We start from the raw sequence: 16,608 nt of genomic DNA, 5'->3' as shown, positions 1-16,608 counted from the left end.
CACGCTGTTGCCCAGGCTGGAGTGTAGTGGCACAATTTTGGCTCACTGCAATCTCTGCCTCCTGGGTTCAAGTGATTTTCCTGCCTCAGCCTCTCAAGTAGCTGGGACTACAGGCATGTGCCACTATGCCGAGCTAATTTTTGTATTTTTAGTAGAGATGGGGTTTCACTGCATTAGCCAGGATGTTCTCGATCCCCTGACCTCGTGATCTGCCCACCTCGGCCTCCCAAAGTGCTGGGATTACAGGTGTGAGCCACTGTGCCCGGCCTCAACATTCTTAAAGAAAAGAATTTTCAACCCCAGAATTTCATATACAGCCAAACTAAGCTTCATAAGTGAAGAAGAAATAAAATCCTTTACAGACAAGCAAATTCTGAGAGATTTTGCCACCAATGGGCCTGCCTTACAGGAACTCCTGAAGGAAGCACTAAACATGGAAAGAAACAAACGGTACCAGCCACTGCAAAAACATGCTAACTTGTAAAGACCATCGATGCTATGAAGAAACTGCATCAATTAACAGGCAAAATAACTAGCTAACATAATAACGACAGGATCAAAGTCACATGTAACTATACGTGTGTGTGTGTATGTGTGTATATATATATATATGTATATATATATATGTGTATATATATGTATATATATATGTGTATATATATATGTATATATATGTGTATATATATATGTATATATATATGTGTATATATATATGTATATATATATGTGTATATATATGTATATATATATGTATATATATGTGTATATATATGTATATATATATATGTATATATATATATATATATTTTTTTTTTTTTTTTTTTTTTTTTGAGACAGAGTCTGCTGTCACACAGGCTGGAGTCCAGTGGCACAAACTTGGCTCACTACAAGCTCCGGCTCCCGGGTTCACGCCATTCTCCTGCCTCAGCCTCCTGAGTAGCTGGGACTACAGGCACTCATCACCATGCCTTGCTATTTTTTTTGTATTTTTTAGTAGAGACGGGGTTTCACCATATTAGCCACGATGGTCTCAATCTCCTGACCTCGTGATCCACCTGCCTCAGCCTCCCAAAGTGCTGGGAGTCACACGTAACAATATTAACCTTAAATGTAAATGGGCTAAATGCCCCAGTTAAAAGATGCAGACTGAAAGAACTAGAGAAGCAAGAGCAAACAAATTCAAAATCTAGCAGAAGGCAAGAAATAACTAAGATCTGAGCACAACTGAAGGAGATAGAGACACAAAAATCCTTCAAAAAATCAAAGAATCCAGAAGCTGGTGTTTTGAAACAATCAACAAAATTCATAGACTGCTAGCAAGACTAATAAAGAAGAAAGAAGACCTACAAAGAGACTTAGACTCCCACACGATAATAATGGGAGACTTTAACACCCCACTATCAACATTAGACAGATCAACGAGACAGAAAGTTAACAAGGATACCCAGGAATTGAACTCAGCTCTGCACCAACCGGACCTAATAGACATCTACAGAACTCTCTACCCCAAATCAACAGGATATACATTTTCTTCAGCACTACACCACACTTATTCCAAAATTGACCACATAGTTGGAAGTAAAGCTCTCCTCAGCAAATGTAAAAGAACAGAAATTATAACAAACTATCTCTCAGACCACAGTGCAATCAAACTAGAACTCAGGATTAAGAATCTCACTCAAAACCACTCAACTACATGGAAAATGAACAACCTGCTCCTGAATGACTACTGGGTACATAACGAAATGAAGGCAGAAATAAAGATGTTCTTTGAAACCAACGAGACCAAAGACACAACATACCAGAATCTCTGGGACACATTCAAAGCAGTGTGTAGAGGGAAATTTATAGCACTAGATGCCCACAAGAGAAAGCAAGAAAGATCCAAAATTGACACCCTAACATCACAATTAAAAGAACTAGAAAAGCAAGAGCAAACACATTCAAAAGCTAGCAGAAGGCAAGAAATAACTAAAATCAGAGCAGAAATGAAGGAAATAGAGACACAAAAAACCCTTCAAAAAATTAATGAATCCAGGAGCTGGTTTTTTGAAAGGATCAACAAAATTGATAGACCACTAGCAAGTCTAATACAGAAAAAAAGAGAGAAGAATCAAATAGACACAATAAAAAATGATAAAGGGGATATCACCACCGATCCCACAGAAATACAAACTACCATCAGAGAATACTACAAACACCTCTACACAAATAAACTAGAAAATCTAGAAGAAATGGATAAATTCCTCGACACATACACTCTCCCAAGACTAAACCAGGAAGAAGTTGAATCTCTGAATAGACCAATAACAGGCTATGAAATTGTGGCAATAATCAATAGCTTACCAACCAAAAAGAGTCCAGGACCAGATGGATTCACAGCCGAATTCTACCAGAGGTACAAGGAGGAACTGGTACCTTTCCTTCTGAAACTATTCCAATCAATAGAAAAAGAAGGAATCCTCCCTAACTCATTTTATGAAGCCAGCATCATCCTGATACCAAAGCCGGGCAGAGACACAACAAAAAAAGAGAATTTTAGACCAATACCCTTGATGAACATTGATGCAAATATCCTCAATAAAATACTGGCAAACCGAATCCAGCAGCACATCAAAAAGCTTATCCACCATGATCAAGTGGGCTTCATCCCTGGGATGCAAGGCTGGTTCAACATACACAAATCAATAAATGTAATCCAGCATATAAAAAGAACCAAAGACAAAAACCACATGATTATCTCAATAGATGCAGAAAAGGCCTTTGACAAAATTCAACAACCCTTCATGCTAAAAACTCTCAATAAATTAGGTATTGATGGGATGTATTTCAAAATAATAAGAGCTATCTATGGCAAACCCACAGCCAATATCATACTGAGTGGGCAAAAACTGGAAGCATTCCCTTTGAAAACTGGCACAAGACAGGGATGCCCTCTCTCACCACTCCTATTCAACATAGTGTTGGAAGTTCTGGCCAGGGCAATTAGGCAGGAGAAGGAAATAAAGGGTATTCAATTAGGAAAAGAGGAAGTCAAATTGTCCATGTTTGCAGACGACATGATTGTATATCTAGAAAACCCCATCGTCTCAGCCCAAAATCTCCTTAAGCTGATAAGCAACTTCAGCAAAGTCTCAGGATACAAAATCAATGTACAAAAATCACAAGCATTCTTATACACCAACAACAGACAAACAGAGAGCCAAATCGTGAGTGAACTCCCATTCACAACTGCTTCAAAGAGAATAAAATACCTAGGAATCCAACTTACAAGGGATGTGAAGGACCTCTTCAAGGAGAACTACAAACCACTGCTCAATGAAATAAAAGAGGATACAAACAAATGGAAGAACATTCCATGCTCATGGGAAGGAAGAATCAATATCGTGAAAATGGCCATACTGCCCAAGATAATTTATAGATTCAATGCCATCCCCATCAAGCTACCAATGACTTTCTTCACACAATTGGAAAAAACTACTTTAAACTTCATATGGAACCAAAAAAGAGCCCGCATTGCCAAATAAATCCTAAGCCAAAAGAACAAAGCCAGAGGCATCATGCTACCTGACTTCAAACTATACTACAAGACTACAGTAACCAAAACAGCATGGTACTGGTACCAAAACAGAGATATAGATCAATGGAACAGAACAGAGCCCTCAGAAATAACGCCGCATATCTACAACTATCTGATCTTTGACAAACCTGACAAAAACAAGCAATGGGGAAAGGATTCCCTATTTAATAAATGGTGCTGGGAAAACTGGCTAGCCATATGTAGAAAGCTGAAACTGGATCCCTACCTTACACCTTATACAAAAATCAATTCAAGATGGATTAAAGACTTAAACGTTAGATCTAAAACCATAAAAACCCTAGAAGAAATCCTAGGCATTACCATTCAGGACATAGGCATGGGCAAGGACCTCATGTCTAAAACACCAAAAGCAATGGCAACAAAAGCCAAAATTGACAAATGGGATCTAATTAAACTAAAGAGCTTCTGCACAGCAAAAGAAACTACCATCAGAGTGAACAGGCAACCTACAAAATGGGAGAAAATTTTTGCCACCTACTCATCTGACAAAGGGCTAATATCCAGAATCTACAATGAACTCAAGCAAATTTACAAGAAAAAAGCAAACAACCCCATCAAAAAGTGGGCAAAGGACATGAACAGACACTTCTCAAAAGAAGACATTTATGCAGCCAAAAGACACATGAAAAAATGCTCACCATCACTGGCCATCAGAGAAATGCAAATCAAAACCACAATGAGATACCATCTCACACCAGTTGGAATGGCGATCATTAAAAAGTCAGGAAACAACAGGTGCTGGAGAGGATGTGGAGAAATAGGAACACTTTTACACTGTTGGTGGGACTGTAAACTAGTTCAACCATTGTGGAAGTCAGTGTGGCGATTCCTCAGGGATCTAGAACTAGAAATACCATTTGACCCAGCCATCCCATTACTAGGTATATACCCAAAGGACTATAAATCATGCTGCTATAAAGACACATGCACATGTATGTTTATTGTGGCATTATTCACGATAGCAAAGACTTGGAACCAACCCAAATGTCCAACACTGATAGACTGGATTAAGAAAATGTGGCACATATACACCATGGAATACTATGGAGCCATAAAAAATGATGAGTTCATGTCCTTTGTAGGAACATGGATGAAACTGGAAATCATCATTCTCAGTAAATTATCGCAAGAACAAAAAACCAAACACCACATATTCTCACTCATAGGTGGGAACTGAACAATGAGAACACATGGACACAGGAAGGGGAACATCACACTCTGGGGACTGTTGTGGGGTGGGGGGAGGGGGGAGGGATAGCATTGGGAGATATACCTAATGCTAGATGACGAGTTAGTGGGTGCAGCACACCAGCATGGCACATGTATACATATGTAACTAACCTGCACAATGTGCACATGTACCCTAAAACTTAAAGTATAATAATAATAAAAAAAAAGAAATGTAAAGACAAAAGGAAAAAAAAAAGAATCAAATAGATGCAAAAAAAAATGATAAAGGGGATATCACCACTGATCCCACAGAAATGCATACTACCATCAGAGAATACTATAAACACCTCTATGCAAATAAACTAGAAAATCTAAAAGAAATGGATAAATTCCTGGACACATACACCCTCCCAAGACTAAACACCAGGAAAAAGTTGAATCTCTGAATAGACCAATAACAGGCTATAAAATTGAGGCAATAATTAATAGCCTACCAACTAAAAATGTCCAGAAGCAGACAAGTTCACAGTCAAATTCTACCAGAGGTACAAAGAGAGCTGATACCATTCCTTCCGAAACTATTATAAAAAACAGAAAGAGAGGGAATCCTCCCTAACTCATTTCATGTGGCCAGCAACATCATGATACCAATGCCAGGCAGAGACACAACAAAAAAAGAATTTTAGACCAATATCCCTGATGAACATTGATATGAAAATCCTCAATAAAATACTGGCAAAACGAATCCAGCAGCACATCAAAAAGCTTATCCACCACGATCAAGTCGGCTTCATCCCTGGGATGCAAGGCTGGTTCGGCATATGCAAATCAATAAATGTAATCCATCACATAAACAGAACCAATGACAAAAACCACATGATTATCTCAATAGATGCAGAAAAGGCCTTTGACAAAATTCAATAGCCCTGCATGCGAAAAACTCTCAATAGACTAGGTATTGATGGGATGTATCTCAAAATAATAAGAGTTATTTATAACAAACCCACAGCCAATATCATACTGAATGGGCAAAAACTGGAAGCATTCCCTTTGAAAACTGGCACAAGACAGGGATGCCCTCTCTCACCACTCCTATTCAACATAGTGTTGGAAGTTCTGGCCAGGGCAATTAGGCAGGAGAAGGAAATAAAGGGTATTCAATTAGGAAAAGAGGAAGTCAAATTGTCCATGTTTGCAGATGACATGATTGTATATCTAGAAAACCCCATTGTCTCAGCCCAAAATCTCCTTAAGCTGATAAGCAACTTCAGCAAAGTCTCAGGATACAAAATCAGTGTGCGAAAATCACAAGCATTCCTATATACCAATAACAGACACACAGAGAGCCATATCATGAGTGAACTCCCATTCACAATTGCTTCAAAGAGAATAAAATACCTAGGAATCCAACTTACAAGGGATGTGACAGTACTTTTCAAGGAGAACTGCAAACCACTGCTCAAAAAAAATAAAAGAGGACACAAACAAGTGGAAAAACATTCCATGCTCATGGACAGGAAGAGTCAATACTATGAAAATGGCCATATTGCCCAAGGTAATTCATAGATTCAATGCCATCCCCATCAAGCTACCAATGACTTTCTTCACACAATTGGGAAAAACTACTTTAAACTTCATCTGGAACCAAAAAAGAGCCCACATTGCCAAGACAATCCTAAGCCAAAAGAACAAAGCTGGAGGCATCACACTACCTGACTTCAAACTACACTACAAGGCTACAGTAACCAAAACAGCATGGTACTGGTACCAAAACAGAGATATAGACCAATGGAACAGAACAGAGGCCTCAGAAATAACACCACACATCTACAACCATCTGATCTTTGACAAACCTGACAAAAACAAGAAATGGGGAAAAGATCCCCTATTTTAATAAATGTTGCTGGGAAAACTGGCTAGCCATATGTAGAAAGCTGAAACTGGATCCCTTCCTTACACCTTATACAAAAATTACTTCAAGATGGATTAAAGACTTAAATGTTAGATCTAAAACCATAAAAACCCTAGAAGAAAACCTAGTCAATACCATTCAGGTCATAGGCATGGGCAAGGACTTCATGACTAAAACACCAAAAGCAATGGCAACAAAAAGCCATAATTCACAGACGGGATCTAATTAAACTAAAGAGCTTCTGCACAGCAAAAGAAACTACCATCAGAGTGAACAGGCAACCTAAAAAATCGGAGAAAATTTTTGCAACCTACTCATCTGACAAAGGGCTAATATCCAGAATCTACAACGAACTCAAACAAATTTACAAGAAAAAAGCAAACAACCCCATCAAAAAGTGGGTGAAGGATATGAACAGACACTTCTCAAAAGAAGACATTTATGCAGTCAAAAAACACATGAAAAAATGCTCATCATCACTGGCCATCAGAGAAATGCAAATCAAAACCATGATGCGATACCATCTAACACCAGTTAGAATGGCGATCATTAAAAAGTCAGGAAACAACAGGTGCTGGAGAGGATGTGGAGAAATAGGAACACTTTTACACTGTTAGTGGAAAACTAGTGACAACCATTGTGGAAGTCAGTGTGGTGATTCCTCAGGGATCTAGAACTAGAAATACCATTTGACCCAGCCATCCCATTACTGGGTATGTACCCAAAGGATTATAAATCATGCTGCTATAAAGACACATGCACACATATGTTTATTGCAGCACTCTCCACAATAGCAAAGACTTGGAGCCAACCTAAATGTCCAACAACGATAGACTGGATTAAGAAAATGTGGCACATATACACCATGAAATACAATGCAGCCATAAAAAATGATGAGTTCATGTCCTTTGTATGGACGTGGATGAAACTGGAAACCATCGTTCTCAGCAAACTATCGCAAGGACAAAAAAACCAAACACCGCATGTTCTCACTCATAGGTGGGAATTGAACAATGAGAACACATGGACACAGGAAGGGGAACATCACACACCGGGGACTGTTGTGGGGTGGGGGGAGGGGGGAGGGATAGCTTTAGGAGATATACCTAATGCTAAATGACGAGTTAATGGGTGCAGCATACCAGCATGGCACATGTATACATATGTAACAAACCTGCACATTGTGCACATGTACCCTAAAACTTAAAGTATAATAATAATAAAATTTAAAAGAAAAAAATTCAGTTTTAAAAGGGCAACAGTGCATAAATGTTTGAAAAATTTGCAGCCTGATGATGTGATAGAAAAGAAAAACCCATTTTCTAAGGAGAAATTCAAGCCTGCTGCAGAAACTTGCATAAGTAATGAGGAGCCAAAGGCTAATCACCAAGAAAATGAGGAAAATGTCTCCAGGGCATGTCAGAGACATTTGGGCAGCCCCTCCCATCATAGGCCTATTTACCTAGGAGAAAAAAAAATGACTTACTGGGCTAAACCAAGGGACCCCTGCTGTGTGCATCCTAGGGGCAGGTGTCCTGAGTCCTAGCCACTGTAGCCATGGCCAAAACGGGCCAAGGGACAACTTGGGCTGTGGCTTCAGAGGATGCAAGCCCCAAGCCTTGGCAGCTTCCACGTGGTATTGAGCCTGCAGGTGCACAGAAGTTAAAAATTGAGGTTTAGCAACCTCCATCTAGATTTCAGAGAATGTATGGAAATGCTTAGATGTCCAGGAAGAAGTTTTCTGTGGGGCAGGACCCTCATGAAAACCTCTGCTAGGGCACTGCAGAAGGGAAATTGGGGCCAGAGCTCCCACAGAGAGTCCCCACTGGTACACTGCTGAGTGGAGCTGTGAGAAGGGGGCCACTGTCCTCTGGATCCCCGAACTGTAGATCCACCAACAGCTTGCACCATTTGCCTGGAAAAGCCACAGACACTCAATGCCAGACTGCAAAAGCATCCAGTAGAGGGGCTGTACCCTGTCCAAGCCACAGTGGCAGAGCTGCCAAAGACCATGGGAACCCACCCCTTGCATCGGCATGACCTGGATTTGAGACATGGAATCAAGGAACATCATTTGGAGCTTTAATATTTGACTGCCCTGCTGGATTTTGAACTTGCATGGGGCCTGCAGCCCCTTCATTTTGGTCAAATCCACTGCTATACCCCCATTGTATCTAGGAAATAACTAACTTGCTTTTGATTTTATAGGCTCATAGGCAGAAGGGACTTGCCTTGTCTCAGAAGAGACTTTGGACTGTGGACTTTTGAGCTAATGCCGAAAAAATTAAGACTTTGGGGGACTGTTGGGAAGGCATAATTGGTTTTGAAATATGAGAACATGAGATTTGGGAGGGACCAGGGCAGAATGATCTGGTTTAGTGAGGGACCCAGTGGGCGATAATTGAATCATAGGGATGGTTTCTCCCATACCGTTATTATGGTAGTGAATAAGTCTCATGAGATCTGATGATTTTATAAGGGCTTCCCTTTTGCTTCTCTTGCCTGCCACCAGGTAAGACATGCCACCATGATTCTGAGGCCTCCCCAGCCATGTGGAACTATGAGTTCATTAAACCTTTCTTTCTTTATAAGTTACCCAGTCTCAGGTATGTCTTTATCAGCAGTGTGAAAATGGACTAACACACTCATGGTTCTGTATAATCACTTTAACAAACACTTATTGATGGCCAGATACATCCTTCACCCTAGGAGTCCAGCAGAGGAGGCCAATTTGGTCAGAAATGACTCTACTATAATTTATAATGTCTGTATTAAATCAAAGGGGAAAGGAATTTCATGTTAAAGGTTAAGTGCCAAATAAGTAATTGTTTACTATACCTATGTTGTCTTCTTTCATCAGGAAGATGGTGGAGTCTGCTCGGTGGCTGATTATCAACAATCAGCTAGATGAGGGCTTAAAGGAGCTTAGAAGAGTTGCACACATAAATGGAAAAAAGAATACTGAAGAGACACTGACCACTGAGGTGATCTGGAAAGGGGAAATGATTGCTGTGATTAAATGAAAACATGACCTCACAATCATACTAGTCTAGGTTCCTGGAGTGACAGAATTAGACTTCTGTGAGTGGAGTCTTACATCTCTGTCCTGATAAAATATATATATCTTTCCTCCTGTCAAAGATTTGGATATAGATATTGAAATATACTGGGAGAAGTGGATATAATTGTTTAATTAAATTGATTGGGAAATTTTCATGCTCTTACCCTAGACGTATAGGGGAAAGTAATCAAAACACAATTTATTTCTCACTATTTTACTGACTCATGGTCCCCTCTGGGGAAAATAAGAAAGCCAATAAAATAAATTATAATTAATCATACAGAAGATAGATTTAAATGTGATTTTGACCCTTTATGTATTTATTCAATAATTCAATAAATATCCCATTGAGCACCAAATAAGTCAAATAAAGTTCTACACAATGTGGATACAGCAGTAAAATAGATAAAAGACCTTTTTGGCATTTACATTGTCTTCATCAGGGGTACTAATATTGTGTGTGCCAGAAAAACAGCTGAGAATTTTTCTTTTTTTGAAGTTTTTCTTCTCATGACTGGAAGCCAGAGCCTGACGTGGCTCATTCAAGCACTCTTTCACTCATTCCTTTAAAAATGCTTATTGCCTACCAGGGTGTACCAGGGTATTGTTAGATGTTGATAAGAAAATAAGTCAGAGTCTCTGACCTCAAAGAACTTAAATTTTACTATGGGACACAAAAATTAAGAGATCATTATAATATAGAATAGGTGCTATCATATGGTTATATGCAGAGTATTTTTGAGAAAACACAGAGGAAGTATCCACTTTAGCCTTAATAGGTCAGAAAAGGATTAGGAGTTAGCTGGTAAAAAGGAAGACAAATAGCATTTCAGGGATAAAATGAACTGGTTGGTATAAGCAAAACTAATAAATACATGTCAGTCCTGAAAGAGAGCAAATGCCCTGTAGAAGAACATGTTAGTAAAGGAAAACACAAAGATTCTAGCCTCTGGCCCCAAATGATTTCATCCCTCTGATATGCTAAGTAAATTAACACATGTACAATGTCTGGAAAAGTATTATTTCATTATAGCATATGCTCAAAGTCCAGAATTTCAATTAAGTTCGAGTGTGAACAAGCCTACTTATATGTAGTTCTCTAACTATAGGACCTTTGTGTTTGTATAAATTGACCTGTGAAACTAAAGACACAAGACATCTGTCTCCAACACATCCAGCATACAATAATGATAGCAGCATGGAATAACTACTGCAGATATTCCTGATCAAAATGGGAGAGACATGAGGTACAAGGAGTTCAGAGCAATTATGAAGTGCAGCCAGGCAAACGTTAGAAGTTCCTTGATTAGGTCTCAAGGCATGGAAAATGAAAGCAATTTGGCTCTCTGCTACAATCTCTTCCCTTTTGGATACAATTTATGAGTTTTCTTCCCTCTCATGAAAAAGAACATGTTTGCAGCTGAATGGTACTCTTATTCAGCTTTTCACCAGCAAGATTTGTGGGGTTACACAGGCTTTTTCATTTTGTACTGTCTCTATCCCACGCTATCATGTGTGCAGTGTTTTTTCCACCAAAGATTTCTCAAAAACATGGCAGATCACCTGTCAACCCATTGGGGTTTATTTTTGTTAGACAAAATTCACAGCAACAAACATCTTTGAGATAAGCTCTATTCTACCTATGGCTCCTGCTGAGATGGGTGACAGACCAGTGCATCTGAGTATCCTAGAGGCTGTATTTTTTTTATTGAGAGACATATTTTTAATCTCTTTAGAGGGCCCCTTGTTTCTGAATAATACACTGACTCTTTTATCTTTCTGGGATCTTAAGAAACAATCTCTAGGCCATGTTTTCATAACAGTATTCCAAAGCCATTTCTTTTTTCTTGATTTTAATTATTATGGGTACATAGTAGTTATAAATATTTATGGGGTATGTGAAATATTTTGATACAAACATACAATGCATAATAATCACATCAGAGTAAATGCGGTATCTATGATCTCAAGCAGTTATCCTTTCTTCATGTTACAAACAATTCAATTATTCTATTTTAGTCATTTTTAAATGTACAATATATTATTGTTCACTTTAGTCACACTGTTGTACCATCAAACACTTGACCTTATTCAATTTATCTAACTATATTTTCGTACCCACTAACCAACCTTATTCCCCCTCCACAACTACCCTTTCTTGTCTCTGCTAACCATCCTTCTACTCTTTATCTCCATGTATTCAATTGTTTTAATTTTTAGCTCCCACAAATGTTCCTGAGAACATGAAAAGTTCATCTTTCTGTGTCCGGCTTATTTCACTTAACATAATGACCTCCAGTTTCATCCATGTTGCTGCAAATTATAGAATCTCATTCTTTTTATGGCTGAATAGTACTCCATGTATACGTATCAACTTTTCTTTATCAATTTATTTGTAGATGGACACTTAGGTTGCCCCCATATCTTGGCTATTGTGAATGTTGCTGCAATAAACATGAAGTGCAGATATCTCTTCAAATATTGATTTCATTTCCTTTGGATAAAAACCAAGTAGTAACATTGCTGGATCATATGGAACTCCTGGGCTTTTTGAATCTTTTTACCTTATAGTAGTGATCCATATTAAGCTAACACTTATGCTTTATTTCTAATTTGTTTGATATTAATAATTGAATATCAGCATTAATTTAATTAACACTTACCTAGTATAATATTATATACAATTTTTGAATAGCAGCATTGATTCTTGCCTAGTGTAATATTATATGCAACTTTTGAAGAGTAGCATTAATTTAATAAACACTTACCTAGTGTAATTTAAAAAAAAAACAAGTAGTAACATTGCTGGATCATATGGTAGTTCTATCTTCAGTTTTTTGAGTAACCTCCAAAATATTTGCCGTAGTGATTGTACTAATTTACATTCCCTCCAACTGTGTATGAGGGTTGAGCTCCTTATATATTCTGGTTATTAATCCCTTGTCAGATGAGTAGTTTGCAAATATTTTCTCCCATTCTGCAGGCTGTCTCTTTACCTTGTTGATTATATCTTTTACTGTGCAGAAGCTTTTTAACATGATGTGATCCCATTTATCCAGTTTTACTTTGTCTGCCTGTGCTTCTGCTTGGCATATTACTCAAGAAATCTTTGCCCAGACCAATGACCTGGAGAGTTTCCCCAGTGCTTTGTTATAGTAGATGTATAGTTTGCAATCTTAGATGTAAGCATTTAATCCATTTTGATTTGATTTTTTATATGGTGAGAGCTTAGTTTCATTCTCCTGCAAATGGATATCCAGTTTTCTCAGCACCATTTATTGAAGAAATTGTCTTTTCCCTGAAGTATTTTCTTAGTACCTTTGTCAAAAATCAGTTCACTGTAGATGTAGGGATTTATTTCTGGCTTGTCTACTCTGTTCCATTGGTCTGTGTCTTTATGCCAGTACCATGCTGTTTTGGTAGTTACAGCTCTGTAGTATAATTTAGAGCCAGGTAACATGATTCCTCCAGTTTTATTCTTTTTACTCAGAGTAGCTTTGGCTATTCTAAGTCATTTGTGGTTCCACTAAAACATTAAGACTATTTTTTCTATTTCTGTGAAGAATATCATTGGTATATTGCATTGTATCTGTAGAATGCTTTGGGTAGTATGGACATTTTAACAATACTGATTAATCCAATCCATGAACATGGAATATATTTTCATTTTTTGTGTGTTCTCTTCGATTTCTTGCATCAGTGCTTTATAGTTTTCATTGTAGAGCTCTTTCACTTCTTTGATTAAAAATTTATTCCTAGGTATTTTATTTGTACCTATTACAAATGGTATTACTTTATTAATTTATTTTTCAGATTGTTCACTGTTGTCATATAGAAATGCCACTTATTTTTTATGTTGATTTTGTATCTTGCAACTTTACTAAATTTGTTTATCAGCTCATAGTTTTTTGTGGAGTGTTGGCTTTCCCAAATATAAGCTTATATCATTTGTAAACAAAGATAATTTAACTTCTTCCTTTCCAATTTGGATGCCATTTATATCTGTCTCTTGTCTGATTGCTCTAGCTAGGATTTCCAGTACTATGTTGAAAAACAGTAGTGAAAATGAGCATCCTTGTCTTTTTCTGAATTTTAGGGATAAGACTTTTAGTTTTTATCCATTTACTATGGTACTAGCTGTGTGTCTATCATATCTGGCTTTTATTATATTGGGGTATGTTCCTTCTATACTGAGATTTTTTTGAGTTTTTATCATGAAGGGAAGTTGAATTTTATCAAATGCTTTTTCAGCATCAACTGAAATGATTATGCAGTTTTTGTCCTTTATTCTGTTCATAGGATGTATCACATTGGTTGAATTGCATATGTCGAACCATCCTTGCATTCCTGGTCATAAATTCTGCCTGGCCGTGAAAAACAGTCTTCTTCACGTGTCATTGAAATTGGCTTGCTAGTATTTCATTGAGGATTTCTGTATCAATATTCATCAGGGATATTAACCTGTAGTTTTCTTTTTTATCTGTCTCTGTCTGGTTTGGGTATCAGAGTAATACTGGCCTCACAGAATGGGTTTGAAAGTATTTTCTCCTCCCGTATTTTTTCAGAATAGTTTGAGTAGGATTAGTACTAGTTCTTTAAATGTTTGGTAAGGCCAGCAATTTGGGAGGCCAAGGCAGAAGAATTGCTTGAGTCCAGGAGTTCAAGACCAGCCTAGGCAACATAGACCCTATCTCTACAAAAAAAAAAAAAAAAAAAAAAAAAAAAATCTTAAAAATTAGCCAGGTGTGGTGGTACAGACTGTGGTCCCAGCTGCTCAGGGGGTGAGATGGAACAATCACCTCAGCCTGGAAGGTTGAGGCTGCTATAAGCCATGAAAGCATCACTGCACTCCAGCCTGGACAAAACAGTGAGACAGCAACTCAAAAAAATTTTAAATATAAATAAAAACCAATAAATATTTGTTAACATGCATCAGCGAAATCATCAGTTCCTGTGCTTACTTTGCTGGGAGACTTTGTATTGTGGCTTCAATGTCATTACTTCTTATTGGTCTGTTCAGGTTTTGAATTTCTTCATGGTTCAATCTTGATAAGTTGCATGTGACTAGGAATTTATTCATTTTTTTCTAGCTTTTATAATGTATTGGCATACTGTTGCTCATACCAGCCTTTAATAACCCTTTGAATTTCTGCAGTATTGGTTGTAATGTCACCTTTTTCATTTCTGATTTTATTTGAGTCTTCTCTCTTTTTTCTTAGCCTAGAAGTTTGTCAATTTTGTTTATCTTTTCAAAAAGCCAGCTTTTGTTCATTTTTTGTATTGTTTTCTCTCAATTTCATTTCTTTCTCCTCTGATCTTTGTTACTTCTACTATTTTGGGGGTTTGGTTTGCCCTTGTTTTTCTAATTCTGTAAGACACATCATTAGATTGTTTAGTTTTTTTATTTGTTTGTTTGCTTGCTTGTTTGTTTTTTTGAGATGGAGTCTCACTCTGTCACCTAGGCTGGAGGGCAGTGGTGTAATCTTGGCTTACTGCAACCTTCAGCTCCCAGGTTCAAGTGATTCTCCTCCCTCAGCCACCCAAGTAGCTGGGTGGCATGTGCCACCATGCCTGGCTAATTTTTGCATTTTTAGTAAAGACAGGTTTTCACCATGTTGGCCAAGCTGCTCTTACACTCCTGACCTCAAGTGAGCCACCCACTTTGGCCTCCCAAGTGCTGAGATTATAGGCATGAGCCACTGTGCCTGCCAATATTTGAAGTTTTTATACATTTTGGATGTAGGCACTAATTGCTATAAATTTGCAATTAGTACCACTTTCTCTCTGTCCCATAGGTTTTGGTATGTTGTGTGTCCACTTTCATTTGGTTCAAGATAGTTTTAATTTCTGTCTTCATTTATTCATTAACCCACTGGTCATTCAGGAACATATTGTTTAATTTCCATGTGTCTGTATAGTTTCTAAAGTTTCTCTTGTTACTGAATTCTAGTTTTATTCCACTGTGGTAAGAGATGATGCTTGATATTATTTCCATTTTTTAAACTTTTTAAATTATAATTTAAGTTCTGAAATACATGTGTAGAACATGCAGGTTTGTTACATAGGTATACATGTGCCATGGTGGTTTGCTGCACCCATCAACCCATCATCTAGGTTTTAAGCTTCACATGCATTAGGTATTTGTCCTAATGCTTTCCCTCCTTTTGCCCCCCATCCCCCAACAGGCCCTGGTGTGTGATGCTCCCCTCCCTGTGTCCATGTGTTCTCATTGTTCAGCTCCCACTTATGAGTGAAAACTCATGGTGTTTGGATTTCTGCTCCTGTGTTAGTTTGCTGAAAATGATGGTTTCCAGCTTCATCCATGTAGGGACATGGATGAAGGACATGAACTCATTATTTTTCATGGCAGCATAGTATTCCGTGGCATATATGTGCCCCGTTTTCTTTATCCAGTCTATCATTGATGCACATTTGGGTTGGTTCCAAGTCTTTGCTATTGTGAACAGTGCTGCAATAAACATATGTGTCTTTATAGTAGAATGATTTATAATCCTTTGGGTATATACCCAGTAATGGGATTGCAGGGTCAAATGGTATTTCTGGTTCTAGATCCTTGAGGAGTTGCCACACGATCTTCCACAATGATTGACCTAATTTACACTCCCATGGTGTAAAAGCATTCCTATTTCTCCACATCCTCTCCAGCATCTGTTGTTTCCTGACTTTTTAATGATCGCCATTCTAACTGGCATGAGATGGTAACTTACTGTGGTTTTGATTTGCATTTCTCTAATGACCAGGGATGATGAGCTTTTTTTCATGTTTGTTGGCTGCATAAATATCTTCTTTTGAGAAATGTCTGTTCATATACTTCACCCACTTTTTGATGGGGTTGTTTTTTTT

The 16,608-nt window shown here is 37.9% G+C and overlaps 1 protein-coding gene across 1 annotated transcript in view; it reads left to right on the top strand.

Moving 5' to 3' along the window:
* Positions 1-16,608, top strand: part of SLC22A24 (solute carrier family 22 member 24) — a 64,282-nt gene that overhangs the window by 30,380 nt on the left and 17,294 nt on the right. Inside the window, exon 5 of the mRNA NM_001136506.2 lies at positions 9,544-9,667. Coding sequence (NP_001129978.2) covers positions 9,544-9,667 — 124 coding nt within the window. The remainder of the gene's footprint in view (positions 1-9,543; positions 9,668-16,608) is intronic.

This window comes from Homo sapiens, chromosome 11, assembly GCF_000001405.40.
Source record: "Homo sapiens chromosome 11, GRCh38.p14 Primary Assembly".
NCBI lineage: Eukaryota > Metazoa > Chordata > Mammalia > Primates > Hominidae > Homo > Homo sapiens.
This window is presented reverse-complemented; position numbering and strand designations above follow the sequence as displayed.